Source organism: Homo sapiens, chromosome 16 (assembly GCF_000001405.40).
Source record: "Homo sapiens chromosome 16, GRCh38.p14 Primary Assembly".
Classification (NCBI taxonomy): domain Eukaryota; kingdom Metazoa; phylum Chordata; class Mammalia; order Primates; family Hominidae; genus Homo; species Homo sapiens.
In genome coordinates this window covers 4545306-4559786 of record NC_000016.10, presented here as the reverse complement: position 1 = coordinate 4559786, position 14481 = coordinate 4545306, and the positions used below count along the sequence as shown (strand labels likewise).

The 14481-nt window shown below is 50.5% G+C and overlaps 1 protein-coding gene across 5 annotated transcripts in view, besides 1 other annotated feature; it reads right to left on the bottom strand.

The window, feature by feature from the left end:
* C16orf96 (chromosome 16 open reading frame 96) overlaps positions 1-14481 on the bottom strand; it is a 62158-nt gene that overhangs the window by 40972 nt on the left and 6705 nt on the right. For 3 of the 5 annotated variants that reach the window (NM_001145011.2, XM_005255301.4, XM_005255298.4), the window contains exon 1: positions 2878-3447. The exons of 1 other annotated variant lie outside the window; for it this stretch is intronic. In NM_001145011.2, coding sequence (NP_001138483.1) covers positions 2878-3297 — 420 coding nt within the window. In that variant the 5' untranslated portion in view covers positions 3298-3447. Of the gene's footprint in view, positions 1-2877; positions 3904-14481 lie in introns of those variants that run through there. One more of the 5 variants, NM_001387219.1, reaches the window with a different exon arrangement.
* Positions 4975-5585: an enhancer, noted in NCBI's record as "H3K27ac-H3K4me1 hESC enhancer chr16:4604203-4604813 (GRCh37/hg19 assembly coordinates)". NCBI's record gives its function as "activates a minimal SCP1, AML or CMV promoter by ChIP-STARR-seq in naive H9 embryonic stem cells {active_cell/tissue: H9 hESC(naive)}" and the evidence as "EXISTENCE:reporter gene assay evidence [ECO:0000049][PMID:30033119]".

Below are 14481 nucleotides of genomic sequence, written 5' to 3'. Positions count from 1 at the left end.
GTGGTTGTCAGGGGTTGCAGGGAGGAGAAGTAAAGGGGAAATAGGGTTTTTTCCTTTCAGGGTGATGGAAATGGCTTAGAACTAGATAGAGGTGGCTGGCTGCACAACAATGTCAATATATCGTGTGCCACCGAATTTTCATTAATTCAGTGTTTAATGTCCACTTTTAAATGGTTGATTTTATGTTAGGTCAATTTCCCCTCAATTTATTTATTTATTTTTAATTTTTTTTTTTTGAGATGGAGTCTTGCTCTGTTGCCCAGGCTGGAGTGCAGTGGCGCAATCTCCGCCCACTAGAACCTCCACCTCCAGGGTTCAAGCGATTCTCGTGCCTCAGCCTCCTGAGTAGCTGGGATTCCAGGCATGCGCCACCATGCCTGGCTAATTTTTTTTTATTTTTATTTTTAGTAGAGACGGGTTTTCATGATGTTGGCCAGGCTGGTCACGAACTCCTGACCTCAAGTGACCCACCTGCCTCGGCCTCCCAAAGTGCTGGGATTACAGGTGTGAGCCACCACATCCAGCCAGTTTCCCCTCAATTTGAAAGAGAAGAGTGGTAACTTGGGAACGCTCTGAAAATGGCCCTGACTCCCAGGGAGATCCAGCTGGACACACCAACGGGCACAGTTCTGGCTCAGAGAGGACTAGGACATGCTGCCTCCAGGGATAGGAAGGCAGTCATCGCTGGATGGTCTCCTTTTTGGAGACAAGACTTTCTCCGTCACCCAGGCTGAAGGGCAGTGGTGCGATCTCAACTCACTGCAACACCTGCCTTCCAGGCTCAAGTGATTCTCCTGCCTCAGCCTCCCGAGTAGCTGGGATTACAGGTGCCTGCTACCACACCTGGCTAATTTTTTTTTTTTTTTTTTTTTTGAGACAGAGTCTCGCTCTGTCACCAGGCTGGAATGCAGTGGTGCGATCTCGGCTCACTGCAAGTTCCGCCTCCTGGGTTCAAGCGATTCTCCTGCCTCAGCCTCCCGAGTAGCTGGGACTACAGGCGCACGCAAGCATGCCCAGCTAATTTTTGTATTTTTAGTAGAGACAGGGTTTCACCATGTTGGCCAGGATTGTCTCGAACTCCTCACCTCAGGTGATCCACCCACCTTGGCCTCCCGAAATGCTGGGATTACAGGTGTGCGCCACTGTGCCTGGCCAAATTATTATTACTATTTTTAGACACAGGGGCTTGCTCTGTCCCCCAGGCTGGAGTTCAGGAGAGTGACTACAACTCACTGCAGCTTCCAACTCCTGGGGTTAAGTGATTCTCCCACCTCAGCCTCCTGAGGTAAGACTACAGGTGGACGCCACCACACCCGGCTAATTTATTCATTTTTTTATAGAGATGAGGTCTCACTACGCTGCCAAGGCTGGTCTTGAACTCCTGGGCTCAAGTGATCATCCCGCCTTGGCCTCCCAGTGTTGGGATTATAGGTGTGAGCCACTGTGCTCGGCTTATTTTCCCTTTCTTATTTCTTCTTGGGCTGCCAGTAACTGAACACTGTCCACGTGCTGGTCGGGGTTAGCAGGGGTCAGCAGTCAAAGGTGAGCCAGGGTCAGAGGCCACGCCTCAGCGCGCAGCTCCCTTGCCCACCAGCTGCTGGGCCTTCAGCCAATCACTGAGCTCCTCTGAGCGTCAGTTTCCTCTTCTGTAAGGCAGAAGGAATGCCTCTTTGCTGCTCCTCACAGGGCTGGTTCTTGGAGATTCTCACTCACTTGTGTCTATCTCCCCTGCTAGGCCGGGCGTGCCTGTTCACCGTGACTACTCTGGTACTTCTCCCATGGTAGCTCCTCCAGGCATTTTTTAGAAATTGGGGTAAGGCTGAGCACAGTAGCTCACGCTTCTAATCCCAGCACTTTGGGAGGCCAAAGCAGGAGGATCACTTGAGCCTAGGAGTTTGAGTCCAGCCTGGGCAACATAAGGAGACCCTATCTCTACAAACAATACAAAAATTAGCCAGGTGCAGTGGTGCACACCTGTGGTCCCAGTTACTCGGGAGGTTGAGGTGGGAGGATTGCTTGAGTCTGGGAGGTCGAGGCTACAGTGAGCCATGACTGAGTCACTGCACTCCAGCCTGGATGACAGAGTGACACCCTGTCTCAAAAAAAAATTGGGGTGAAATTCACATAATGTACAATTAGCCATTTTTAAGTGAACAATTCAGTGTCATTTAGTACATCAGTGAGGTTGTATAACTACCACCTCCATCTAGTTCCAAAACATTTTCATCACCCCAAAAGGAAACCCTATATCCACAAAGCAATTACTCCCCATTCTCTCCTCCTCCAAGCCCCTGGCAACCACTGCTTTCTGTCTCCATGGATTTACCTATTCTGGACATTTCGTATAAATGGAATCATACACTGGGTAGCCTTTTGTGTCTGGCTTCTTTGCAATACTTGATGGAGGCTGCAAGCTTGGCGTTTTGGTTGTGCCTGACTCTAAAGCACCCTTCTTCCCACTCTGCATAAGGAGATGGCCCATCGTAGGTGAGTAAGCAACAAGATGTCCCAGGAGAAGGCTGGGCGCAGTGGCTCACGCTTGTCATCCCAGCACTTTAGGAAGCCGAGGCAGGTGGATCAGTTGAGATCAGGGGTTTGAGACCAGCCTGGCCAACATAGTGAAACCCCATCTCTACTAAAAATACAAAAATTAGCCGGGTGTGGTGGCATGTGCCTGAAATCCTAGCTACTAGGGAGGCTGAGGCAGGAGAATCACTTGAACCCGGGAGGCGGAGGTTGCAGTGAGCCAAGATCACACCACTGCACTCCAGCCTGGGTGACAGAGCGAGACGGAGTCTCAAAAACAAAAAAAAGACGTCCCAGGAGAGAGCCAGTGGTGAAGGGAGGAAAAGAAGTGTCTGGAGGCTGGGGGCGTACCTTGGCCATGACTTCATCATGACCCTCCACCATCTTCCGGAGCTTGATCAGATGCCACAGGTCCTGGACGGGCCGGGCAGTGCCCTGGCTGGCTTCCAGCAGCTGGGCAGTGGAGGGCAGGTCCTGCAGCAGGGCCAGCTGGTTCTCCAACTTGTCGAGGCGGCTCACCACGTGGTCGAAGACATTGCTGAGCCTCTTCATGGGGTTGAGGATAGGCTGGGCGTCTCCTTCCCTGGGCATGATGACCACCTGCGAGGTCTGCAGGAAGTCCTCATCGCCTGAGAGGACTTTCTTGAGCTCGGCCATGTGGATGTGCTCCAAGATGCCGTGCAGCAGGAGGTGCAGGGCCTTGAAGTTCAGCACCCCGCACTGTGGGATGGCGATGTTGGCCAGCTCGGTGAACGTGAGTGAGAAGCTCATCCTGCCAGGGTGGGTCAGTGGGGCTGGGGTTCCAGGTGTCCTCAAGGACAAGGGGTAGCTTTCAGTGGTTCCGAGAGCTACATGGACTGGTCCTCAGAGGCCTGGGGTGGTGGTGAGTCACAGCAGTCAGGGAGGAATGGCCTCTGTTCTGGCTGGAGCTCAGATCAGAGTCTCTGGTTGCCAGGACACCAAAGAATGTGATGAAACGGGCGCAATTCAAAGTCTGGAGTGGGGCAGGTGCTCCCTGGTAAGCCTCACCCAGAGTAGGTGCTCAGTTAATATTGGATGAATGTTTGAATAGCTGATGGCAGCCTCTTCATTCAAGCCCTCTGGTGATGTGAGACTGGTAACTTTTTCCTAGAAGCACATATGGAAGGGATGGAGAGGCAGCTCCCTCCTTGGAATTTTCTCGAATCCGGGCAGAAGACAGGTTTCTTGGAGTTAGGAAGACCCAGGTTTTACAAAGAGATAAGAATCTGAAGTACTGGCTGGGTGGGTGTGGGGGTTCAGGCCTGTAATCCCAGCACTTTGGGGAGGCAAAGGCGGGAGGACTGCTTGAAGCCAGGAGTTCGAGAGCAGCCTGGGCAACATAGTGAGACCCTGTTTCTACAAAAAAAAATTTGTAATTAGCTGGATGTGCTGGCGCACATCTGTAGTCCCAGCTACTCAGGAGGATGGGGTGGGAGGATTGCTTGAAGCCAGGAGTTTGAGGCTACAGTGAGCTATGATTGTGCCACTGCACTTAGCCTGGGCAACAGAGTGAGACCTTGCCTCAAAAAAAAAAAAAAAAAGAAAAGAAAAGAAAAAGAAAAGAGAAAAGGCCGGGCACAGTGGCTGACATATGTAATCCCAGCACTCTGGGAGGCCAAGGCGGGTGGACCACGGGGTCAGGAATTCAAGACTAGCCTGGCCAAGACGGTGAAACTCCGCCTCTACTAAAAATACAAAAATCAGCCAGGCGTGGTGGCACGTGCCTGTAATCCCAGCTACTCTGGAGGCTGAGGCAGAGAATTGCTTAAATCCGGGAGGTGGAGGTTTCAGTGAGCCAAGATCGTGCCACTGCACTCCAGCCTGGGCGACAGAGCGAGACTCCGTCTCAAAAGAAAAAAAAAAGAATCTGAAGAACTACATTCATTTCTGGACGCATCCAAAGGCCCCCCACAGTGTTCCATTTTCTCGTGTGTGTGTGTGTGTGTGTGTGTGTGTGTGTGTGTGTGTGTAGTGTGTGTGACAAAGTCTTTCTCTGTTACCCAGGCAGGAGTGCAGTGGCGCGATCTCCGCTCACTGCAACCTCCGCCTCCTGGGTTCAAGCGATTCTCCTGCCTCAGCCTCCTGAGTAGCTGGGATCACAGGCGCCTGCCACCACGCCCAGCTAATTTTTATATTTTTAGTGGAGATGGGGTTTCACCATGTTGGCCAGGCTGGTCTCAAACTCCCGACCTCAGGTGATCTGCTTGCCTCAGCCTCCCAAAGCGCTGGGATTACAGGTGTGAGCCACCACACCTGGCCAAGTGTTCCATTTTCTGGGAAGGAGAGCCCAGGTGGTAAGAAGGGCATTGTCGGCTGGGCGCGGTGGCTCACGCCTGTAATCCCAGCACTTTGGGAGGCTGAGGTGGGCAGATCATGAGGTTAAGAGATGGAGACCATCCTGGCCAACATGATGAAACAAAAATTAGCTGGGCATGGTGGTGCGTGCCTGTAGTCAGCTACTCGGGAGGCTGAGGCAGGAGAATCACTTGAACCCGGGAGGCAGAGGTTGCAGTGAGCCAAGATTGTGCCATTGCACTCCAGCCTGGTGACAGAGCAAGACTCCGTCTCAAACAAAGAAGGGCGATAGGCTGGGTGCGGTGGCTCACGCCTGTAATTCCACACTTTGGGAGGCCGAGGCGGGCAGATCACGAGGTCAGAAGATTGAGACCATCTTGGCTAACAGTGTGAAACCCCGTCTCTACTTCAAAAAATATACAAAAAATTAGCCAGGCATGGTGGCGGGTGCCTGTAATCCCAACTACTCGGGAGGCTGAGGCAGAAGAATCGTTTGAATCTGGGAGGCGGAGCTTGCAGTGAACCGAGACCGCACCACTGCACTCCAGCCTGGGCGACAGAGCAAGACTCTGTCTCAAAAAAAAAAAGAAAAAGAAAAAGAAAAAAAGGGCGTTGTCCTTTCTAGGCCCTGCATGTCCCTGCCCACCCAAGTGACGGTGCCCTCACCAGACCCTGCTCTGCTCCCCGCTTGAGCTGGGCTCTTCACAACCCCTGTGCTCTCAAACAGGGTCTCAGCCCTGCTCTGACATCATAAGGACATGGCCAAGAGCCAGCTGCCACAGGACCAGGAGGCTGCGTGGAGATATGAGGTATGGTCAGGCTCTGCTTGGTCAGTTCTGGGACAAGAGAATCCCAGCCTGCTTGTCTCCTGGGAAAGTCTGCAGGGACACTCTCGGCTTAACACCGGGAGCCCTGACTCCCAACCCAGCCAGCACTGTGATCCCACATTCCTGGTCCCGCGCCACACAGCAGGAGCCCTGCTGAGGGATTCCACATTGAGTTCATGCAGGTGGGGAGGCAAATCCTTGCACCAGCTGTGGAATCTTGAGCAAGTGACTTAACCTCTCTGAGCCTCAGCTTCCCTCTCTGCTAAATGGGGAAATAAAACATGGCGGCTAGAAATAACATATGTAACATGCCAGGCCAGTGCTGATGGAAAACGTTTCTTGCAGTCAGGCGCTGTGGCTCATGCCTGTAATCCCAGCACTTTGGGAGGCCAAAGTGGGCGGGTTGCTTGAATCCAGGAGTTGGAGAGCAGCCTGAGCAACATAGCAAGACACCATCTCTACAAAATAAAAAATTAGCTGAGCGTAGTGGCTCACACCTGTAATCCCAGCTACTCAAGAGGCTGAGGCAGGCAGATCGCTTGAGCCCAGGAGTAGAGCGTGAGACCAGCCTGCACAACACGGTGAAACCCCATCTCTAAAAAATATACCAAAATTAGCTGGGCATGGTGGTGTGTGCCTGTAATCCCAGCTACTCGAGGCTGCAGTGAGCCAGAATCACACCCCTGCACTCCAGCCTGGGCAAGAGAGTGAGACCCCATCTCAAATAAAACAAAATACAAATCGCTCCTTGACCAGAACTGATCTGGCAGCCACTCTTGCCAATGGTTAGAACTGTGGGAGCAAGAGTCCAGGAAAACGCCTTCTGAATTGAACAGTGGGATATTTTCAGGGATGCTGCTTGTGAATCAATCCCATGTTCCTACTTCACAACAGATGCTTCTGCAGAGGTCATTACCAGTCCATCCACAAAACCTGGCTCTTCAGCCAGGCGTGGAGGCAGACAATGAGATAACAGCTGGGCAAAGGTAACCCAAGGAGGCTCCTCTGGGGAGGTGACATCTGAGCTGAGACCTGAAGAGAGGGCATTCCTGAAGCTCTTTCAGAATAGAGACCTTCTCTTTCTTCTCTGTCTTTCTAGTATCAGAACACAGATCCCTGCACACAGTAGGTGCTCAGTAAGTGTTTGCTAAATGGATGATAGCTCCGAAGGAGCTGTCAACTCTCATGGGGCCATATTAATGATAGAAATATTATAAAATAAATGTTAACACTGTAACCATTCATGTTTCTTTTAGAATAATTTAGCATTTAAATGTGAAGTTCTGGCAACACCAAGCATTGGCAAGCATATGAACAACAGATCTCTCATCTGCTCTGACAGAGCAGAAATTAGCAGACTTTGGAAAACTGTTTGGCAGGGTCTGCAATGCTGAAAAATTGCACACACTGTGACCCAGCCAGTCCAGCCCTCGACCGGAACCCACCAGGAATTGACATACACCATGCACAAGGATGTTTGTGACAGCACTACTCATAGTAGCTAAAAATTCCCATCCAACTATCGCATATTCAAACAGTAGACTATAACACAGCAGTGAGAATGAACAAAGACAACTACATGTAATAGTGGGATGAATTTCTTTTCTTTTCGTTTCTTTTTTTTTTTTTTTTTTTTGAGACAGAGTCTAACACTGTCGCCCAGGCTGGAGTGCAATGGCGCGATCTCGGCTCACCGCAACCTCCATCTCCTGGGTTCAAGCGACTCTCCTGCCTCAGCCTCCCAAGTAGCTGGCATGACAGGCACATGCTACCATGCCAGGCTAATTTTTGTATTTTTAGTAGAGATGGGGTTTCACCACGTTGCCCAGGCTGGTCTCGAGCTCCTGACCTCAGGTGATCTGCCTGCCTTGGCCTCCCAAAGTGCTGGGATTACAGGCGTGAGCCACCGCGCCCGGCCAACTTTCATTGATATAAAATTGAGCGGAATTACATACATAAAAGGGTTCATGCTGTATGAAACCATTGCTATAAAAAGTCCCCAAACTGCAGCCATAAAAAAGGATGAGTTCATGTCCTTTGCAAGGACGTGGATGAAGCTGTAAACTATCATCCTCAGCAAACTAACACAGGAAAAGAAAACCAAACACCGCATATTCTCACTCATAAGTGGGAGGTGAACAATGAGAACACATGGACACAGGGAGGGGAATGTCACACACCGGGGCCTGTCGTGGGGTGGGGGAAGCAAGGGGAGGGAGAGCATCAGGACAAATACCAAATGCAGGCAGGGCTTAAAACCTAGATGATGGGTTGATAGGTGCAGCAAACCACCATGGCACATGGACACCTATGTAACAAACCTGCACATTCAGCACATGTATCCCAGAATTTAAAAAGAAACAAATGGCCAGGCGCGGTGGCTCAAGCCTATAATCTGAGCACTTTGGGAGGCCGAGGTGGGCAGATCACGAGGTCAGGAGATGGAGACATCCTGGCTAACATGGTGAAACCCCATCTCTACTAAAAAAATACAAAAAATCAGCCAGGCATGGTGGCGGGTGCCTGTAGTCCCAGCTACTGGGGAGGCTGAGGCAAGAGAATGGCGTGAACCTGGGAGGCGGAGCGTGCAGTGAGCCAAGATCAAGCCACTGCACTCCAGCCTGGGCGACAGAGCAAGACTCCGTCTCAAAAACAAACAAACAAACAAAAGTCCCGAAATGGAGTAAACAAATCTTAGGTGTTGGAGGTGAGGCGAGTGGTTATCCTTGGGTGACCTCATGCTTGGAAGGAAGCATGAAGCTGAGCTGTAGGGGAGTGGGCACGCTGGTGTGGCCAGTTTGGGAAAATTCATCAAGCCATTCGCTTCTAATATGGGCACTTCTTTTTTTTGAGATAGGGTCTCACTGTCACCCAGGCTGGAGTGCAGTGGTGCGATCGCAGCTCACGCAGCCTCAAACACCTGGGTTCCAGCAATCCTTCTGCCTCACCCTCCGAGTAGCTAAAACCATAGGTGTGCAACACCTCTCCTGGCTGATTATTTTTATTATTGCGGAGATGGGTCTCACCATGTTGGCCAGGCTGGCCTCAAACTCCTGGCCTCAAGCGGTCCTCTGGCCTCAGCCTCCCAAAGTCCTGGGATTATAGGCGTGAGCCACCGCGCCCGACCCTGAGCACTTTTCTGTATCAAAGTTCTGGGAATCTGCAATGATTCAAACAAATTAAGAGGCCAACAACGTGGATTCCATTTGGGTTTTGCTGGCTCAGCTCCAGTGGGCTCCTTCCCAGTTCTTGCTGCGTGTAAAGAAAGATTTTTGCAAAAAAAAATCTGGCCTGAATATAACAGCTTCTTCTCTCACCTCAGTGTGTGCTGACTCACACCCATGCCAGGAGAGCAGCTTGGGCAGTGAGCAGCACCATGAGGCTAGAACCACAAGACCTGGGGTCTGCTGGGCATGCGTTGTGTGGCCCTGAGCCTGTGCCTTAAACCCTCCACGTAGGTTTAGGAGCTGGAGGTAAACATTTGCAGGTTCCTTGTTGAGATGAAGGGAGGTGAGGAGAGTGGCATGGTACCCAGCACAAAGTGCTCACTGACGTTAGCTGCATCTCCCAAAATGAGTACATGATTTTGTTTGAGGCTTTCAAGGCAACAATGCATTAGCTTGATGCTGGAGAGGGGGCCAAGGAGGAAGGAGAGAACATGGGAGGAGAGAGGTACCTCCTTGGACCAGTCAGTGTTTGCTCTGATGTGCAGAACTGCATTCAAAATGCTCTGGGGTTTTGTATTACAAAAATTACTGTAATCTCAGCACTGTGGGAGGCTGAGATGGGCGGATCACGTGAGGTCACTACTTAGAGACCAACCTGTCCAACATGATGAAACCCTGTCTCTACTAAAATTATAAAAATTAGCTGGGCATGGTGGCGGGTGCCTGTAATCCTAGCTACTTGGGAGGCTGAGGCAGGAGAATCGCTTGAGCCCGAGAGGCAGAGGTTGCAGTGAGCTGAGATCATGCCATTGCACTCCAGCGGGGGCAACAAGAGTGAAACTGTCTCAAAAAAAAAAAAAAAAATTACCCACTGTGTGCTCTAACCAGCTCAATAACAGAAGATACAGAAACAGGCAAAGTGAGTACATGAGTTCATTTGCATTGCTATAAAAGAATACCTGAGACTGGGTAATTGATAAAGAAAAGAGGTTTTGGCTCACGGTTCTGCAGGCTGTACACAAAGCACAGCGCCAACATCTGCTCCTGGTGAGGCCTCAGGAAGCTTCAAATTGTGGAAGGCGAAGGGGAGTCGGCATGTTGCATGGTGAGAGAAGAGCAAGAGAGTGGGGAGATGCCAGGCTCCTTTTTATTTTATTTTGTTTTATTTTTTTGAGACAGGGTCTCTCTGTGTTGCCCAGGTCTTGGCTCACTGCAACCTCTGCCTCCCAGATTCAAGCGATTCTCCTGCCTCAGCCTCCCAAGTAGTTGGGATTGCAGGCGCCCGCAACCCTGCCCGGCTAATTTTTGTATTTGTAGTAGAGATGGGGTTTCCCTATGTTGGCCAGGCTGGTTTTGAATTCCTAACCTCAGATGATCCACCTGCCTCGGCCTCCCAACGTGCTGAGATTACAGGATTACGGGTGTGAGCCACTGTGCCCAGCTGGTATTCTGGTTGGTTGTTTTTTTTTTTTTTTTTTTAGACAGAGTCTTGCTCTGTCGCCCAGGCTGGAGTGCAGTGGCGCGATCTTGGCTCACTGCGAGCTCCGCCTCCCAGGTTCACGCCATTCTCCTGCCTCAGCCTCCCGAGCAGCTGGGACTACAGGCACCCGCCACCACGCCTGGCTAATTTTTCTATTTTTAGTAGAGACGGGGTTTCAACGTGTTAGCCTGGATGGTCTTGATCTCCTGACCTTGTGATCCACCCACCTTGGCCTCCCAAAGTGCTGGGATTACAGGCGTGAGCCACCGCGCCCGGCCTGGTGTTCTGTTTTGATGTGGTGCTGGTTGCAATAGTGAGTGAGGTTTGTGAAAATTCTTCAACCTTAACACTCATATGCACTTTTTTTAATAGGGTCTCCATATAAGACTCGGGTCTTATTTTAACTCTGGCCTAAAAGAACTAAACTAAGAGAGATAAACATCACCCCTCGGTCTCTGTAATGCAAACTGCAAGACAGGAAAGGAAAGGCAAGGAAGGGACTCCACCACATCCCCAGTGCCACTGTGTTGCCAGCAGATGGCACTGGTTATAGAGAAAGTGGAAGAGCTCCCACTTTTCTTTTTTTTTTTTTTTGAGAGTCTCACTTTGTCACCCAGGCTGGAGTGCAATGGCGTGACATTGCAACCTTGGCTCACTGCAACCTCCGCCTCCCGGGTTCAAGCGATTCTCCTGCCTCAGCCTCCCGAGTAGCTGGGATTATAGGCATGCACCACCACGCCTGACTAATTTTTGTATCTTTAGTAGTGATGGGGTTTCACCATGTTGGCCAGGCTGGTCTCAAACTCCTGACCTCAGGTGATCCACCTGCCTTGGCCTCCCAGAGGGCTGGGATTACAGGAATGAGCCACCACGCCCAGCTGAGCTCCTGCTTTTCATACTTTTAGGCGCAAAAGTTCTTGGGAGCCCCATGGGCTGGCTCTGCTGAAGGTCAGCAGGTGTTCCCCCACTGGTGGGAGAATGGTCTTCTGGTAGCAGGTGCCACGAGGTAGAAAGACACCTGTCACTGAAGATGTCCCGGGCCTACAGCACTCCTGCTGCCCCAATTATGGTGAAATCTGGACTAAAAATAAGAGGTGGTGGCTTTGCAGTACCGATGTGAGTCTCAGAGGCGCGCCTTGGGTGCCAGGGAGGAGGAGCTGCGTTCTGCAGAAAGTGAACGTTGCCCAGGAAAAGGTGACACAAGCAGCTCCTCTGCAAGCCTGAAAATAATGCCATTCAGGACAGCCGTGGGCTCCTGATCTGACAGCGAGTGAGGCAGGAACATGAGGAACATCGTCCTGTCTCCGGGCCTGCGTTTACTTTGTTATTTCATCACATGTCCGAATTCTCCCGGAGCGGCTTTTTGTGTAGCCCTGCCCCTCCTTTTCTGATAACAGCTTTATTAAGATATAATTCATCTAACATACAATCCATCCATGTATAATTCAATGGCTTTTAGTATATTTGCAGATAGTTGCAAACACCATGACAATCAATTTTAGAACATTTCATTACCCTAAAAAGAAAACTCAGCCGGGTGCAGTGGCTCACCCCTGTAATCTCAGCTACCCAGGAAGCTGAGGAAGGAGGACTGAAGACAGCTTGAGCTCAGGAGTTTGGACTAACCTGGGCAATACTGGGAGACCTTATCTCAAGGAAGGAAGGAAGGGAGGGAGGGAGGGAAAGAGAGAATGAGAGAGAGAGAGAGGGAGGGAGGAAGGAAGCAAGGAAGGAGAAAGAAAGAAAGAAAGAAAGAAAGAAAGAAAGAAAGAAAGAAAGAAGGAAGGAAGGAAGGAAGCAAGGAAGGAAGGAAGGAAGGAAAGAAAGAAAGACAGAAAGAAAGAGAAAGAAAGAAAGAAAGGAAGGAAAGAGGAGAGGAGAGGAGAGGAGAAAACCTGTACCCATTAGCACTCACCTCCCATTTCGCCTGAACTCCCCACGCCCTAGGTAACCACTAATCTATTTTCTGACTTTCTGTCTCTATGGGTTTGCCTATTCTGGACATTTAATGTAAACTGAATCACACAATAAGTGGGCCGTGCGCAGTGGCTCACATCTGTAATCCCAGCACTTTGGGAGGCCAAGGTGGGTGGATTACTTGAGGTCAGGAGTTCAAGATCAGCCTAGCCAACAAGGTGAAACCCCATCTCTACCATAAATACAAAAATTAGCTGGGTGTGGTGGTGGGCACACCTGTAATTCCAGCTACTTGGGAGGCTGAGGCAGGAGAATCGCTTGAACCTGGGATGTCGAGGTTCCAGTGAGCCAAGATCATACCACTGCACTCCAGCCTGGGCGACAGAGCGAGACGCTGTCTCAGAAGAGAAAAACAATAAGTGGTCTTCTGTGACTGGCTTCTTTCACTTAGGAAGGGCTTCTTTCACCGGGGGCGGTGGCTCATGCCTATAATCCCAGCTCTTAGGAAGGCAGCGGCAGGAGGATAGCTTGAGCCCAGGAGTTACAGACCTGCCAGGCAATATATCGAGACCCTATTCTCCACAAAAAGGAAAAAAGACAAAAAAAGAGAGAAATGGATGGCTTCTTTCACTCAGAGTGTTCTCAAGGTTCATCCACGTTGTAGCACGGATCAGTGCTTCATTCCTTTTTATGGAATGAATAATATTCCATTATATGGAGATCACACGTTGTTTATCCATTCATCAGTTGATGAACATTTGGTTGTGTCAAAGAAAACCAGAGCTGTTGGGTGTGGTGGCTTATGCCTGTAATCTCAGCACTTTAGGAGGCTAACTAAGATGGGAGGACTGCTTGAGCCCAGGAGTTTGAGGCCAGCCTGGGCAACGCGGTGAGACCCTGTCTCTACAAAAATAACAAATAAATAGCTGGGCATAATGGCACATGCCTGTAGTCCTAGCTCCTCAGGAGGCTGAGGCAAGAGGATCGCTTGAGCTTGGAAGGTCGAGGCTGCAGTGAGCCATGATTGCCGCCACTGCACTCCAGCCTGTGCAACACAGTGAGACCCTGTGTCTTAAAAAAAAAAAAAAAAAAAAAAGTCCGGGCGCGGTGGCTCCCGCCTGTAATCGCAGCACTCTGGGAGGCCGAGGCAGGCAGATCACGAGGTCAGGAGATCAAGACCATCCTGGCTAACACGGTGAAACCCCATCTCTACTAAAAACACAAAAAATTAGCTGGGCGCGGTAGCGGGCGCCTGTAGTCCCAGCTACTCGGGAGGCTGAGGCAGGAGAATGGCGTGAACCTGGGAGGTGGAGCTTGCAGTGAGCCGAGATTACACCACTGCACTCCAGCCTGGGTGACAGAGCCAGACTCCGTCTCAAAAAAAAAAAAAAAGAAAGAAGGAAAGAGGCTAGGCATGGTGGCTCATTCCTGTAATCCCCGTACTTTGGGAGGCCAGGGTGGGCGGATCATGAGGTCAGGAGTTCGAGATCAGCCTGGCCAACATGCTGAAACCCCATCTCTACTGAAAATACAAAAATTAGCCGGGCATGGTGGTGTGCACCTGTAGTCCCAGCTACTCGGGAGGCTGAGGCGGGAGAATCGCTTGAACCTGGGAGGCGGAAGTTGTGGTGAGCTGAGATCGCGCCATTGCACTCCAGCCTGGGCAACAGAGCGAGATTCTGTCTCAAAAAAATGAAAGAAAAAGAGAAAAAGAAAACCAGAGCTGGACAGTAATTAAAGCTGTAAAAACAAATTTTATTCAGGACTATTGCAATAGGGGAAAAGAGACCTCAGTACAGAAATAGGCTCAACTCCGAATACAACAAGGGAAAATAGAGATTGATAGCCAAGGAGTGGGAGGTGGGTGCTGTTGGTGGATGGAAAGTTACTAGGAGAGGAGGGTAATTCTTTGCTAAATTGAGTCTAACAAGAGTCTTGCTGAAGGCAGGTCAGGGTGATCAAATATCACCTGGAGGATGATGGGGGTTGTGAAATTTGGACAGATATGCAGGGGCGATTCTGGCTAAATCAATTTAACAGAATTCTTGCTGAAACCCGGCTTGGCTAGGTGCAGCGGCTCACGCCTGTAATCCCAGCACTTTGGGAGGCCAGGCCACAAGGATCGCTTGAGCTCAGGAAGTTGACACCAGCTTGGGCAACAAGCAAATTAAAAAATATATATAGCTGGTTGTGGTTGCATGCACCTGTAGTCCCAGCTACTTGGGAGGCTGAGACAGGAGGATCACTT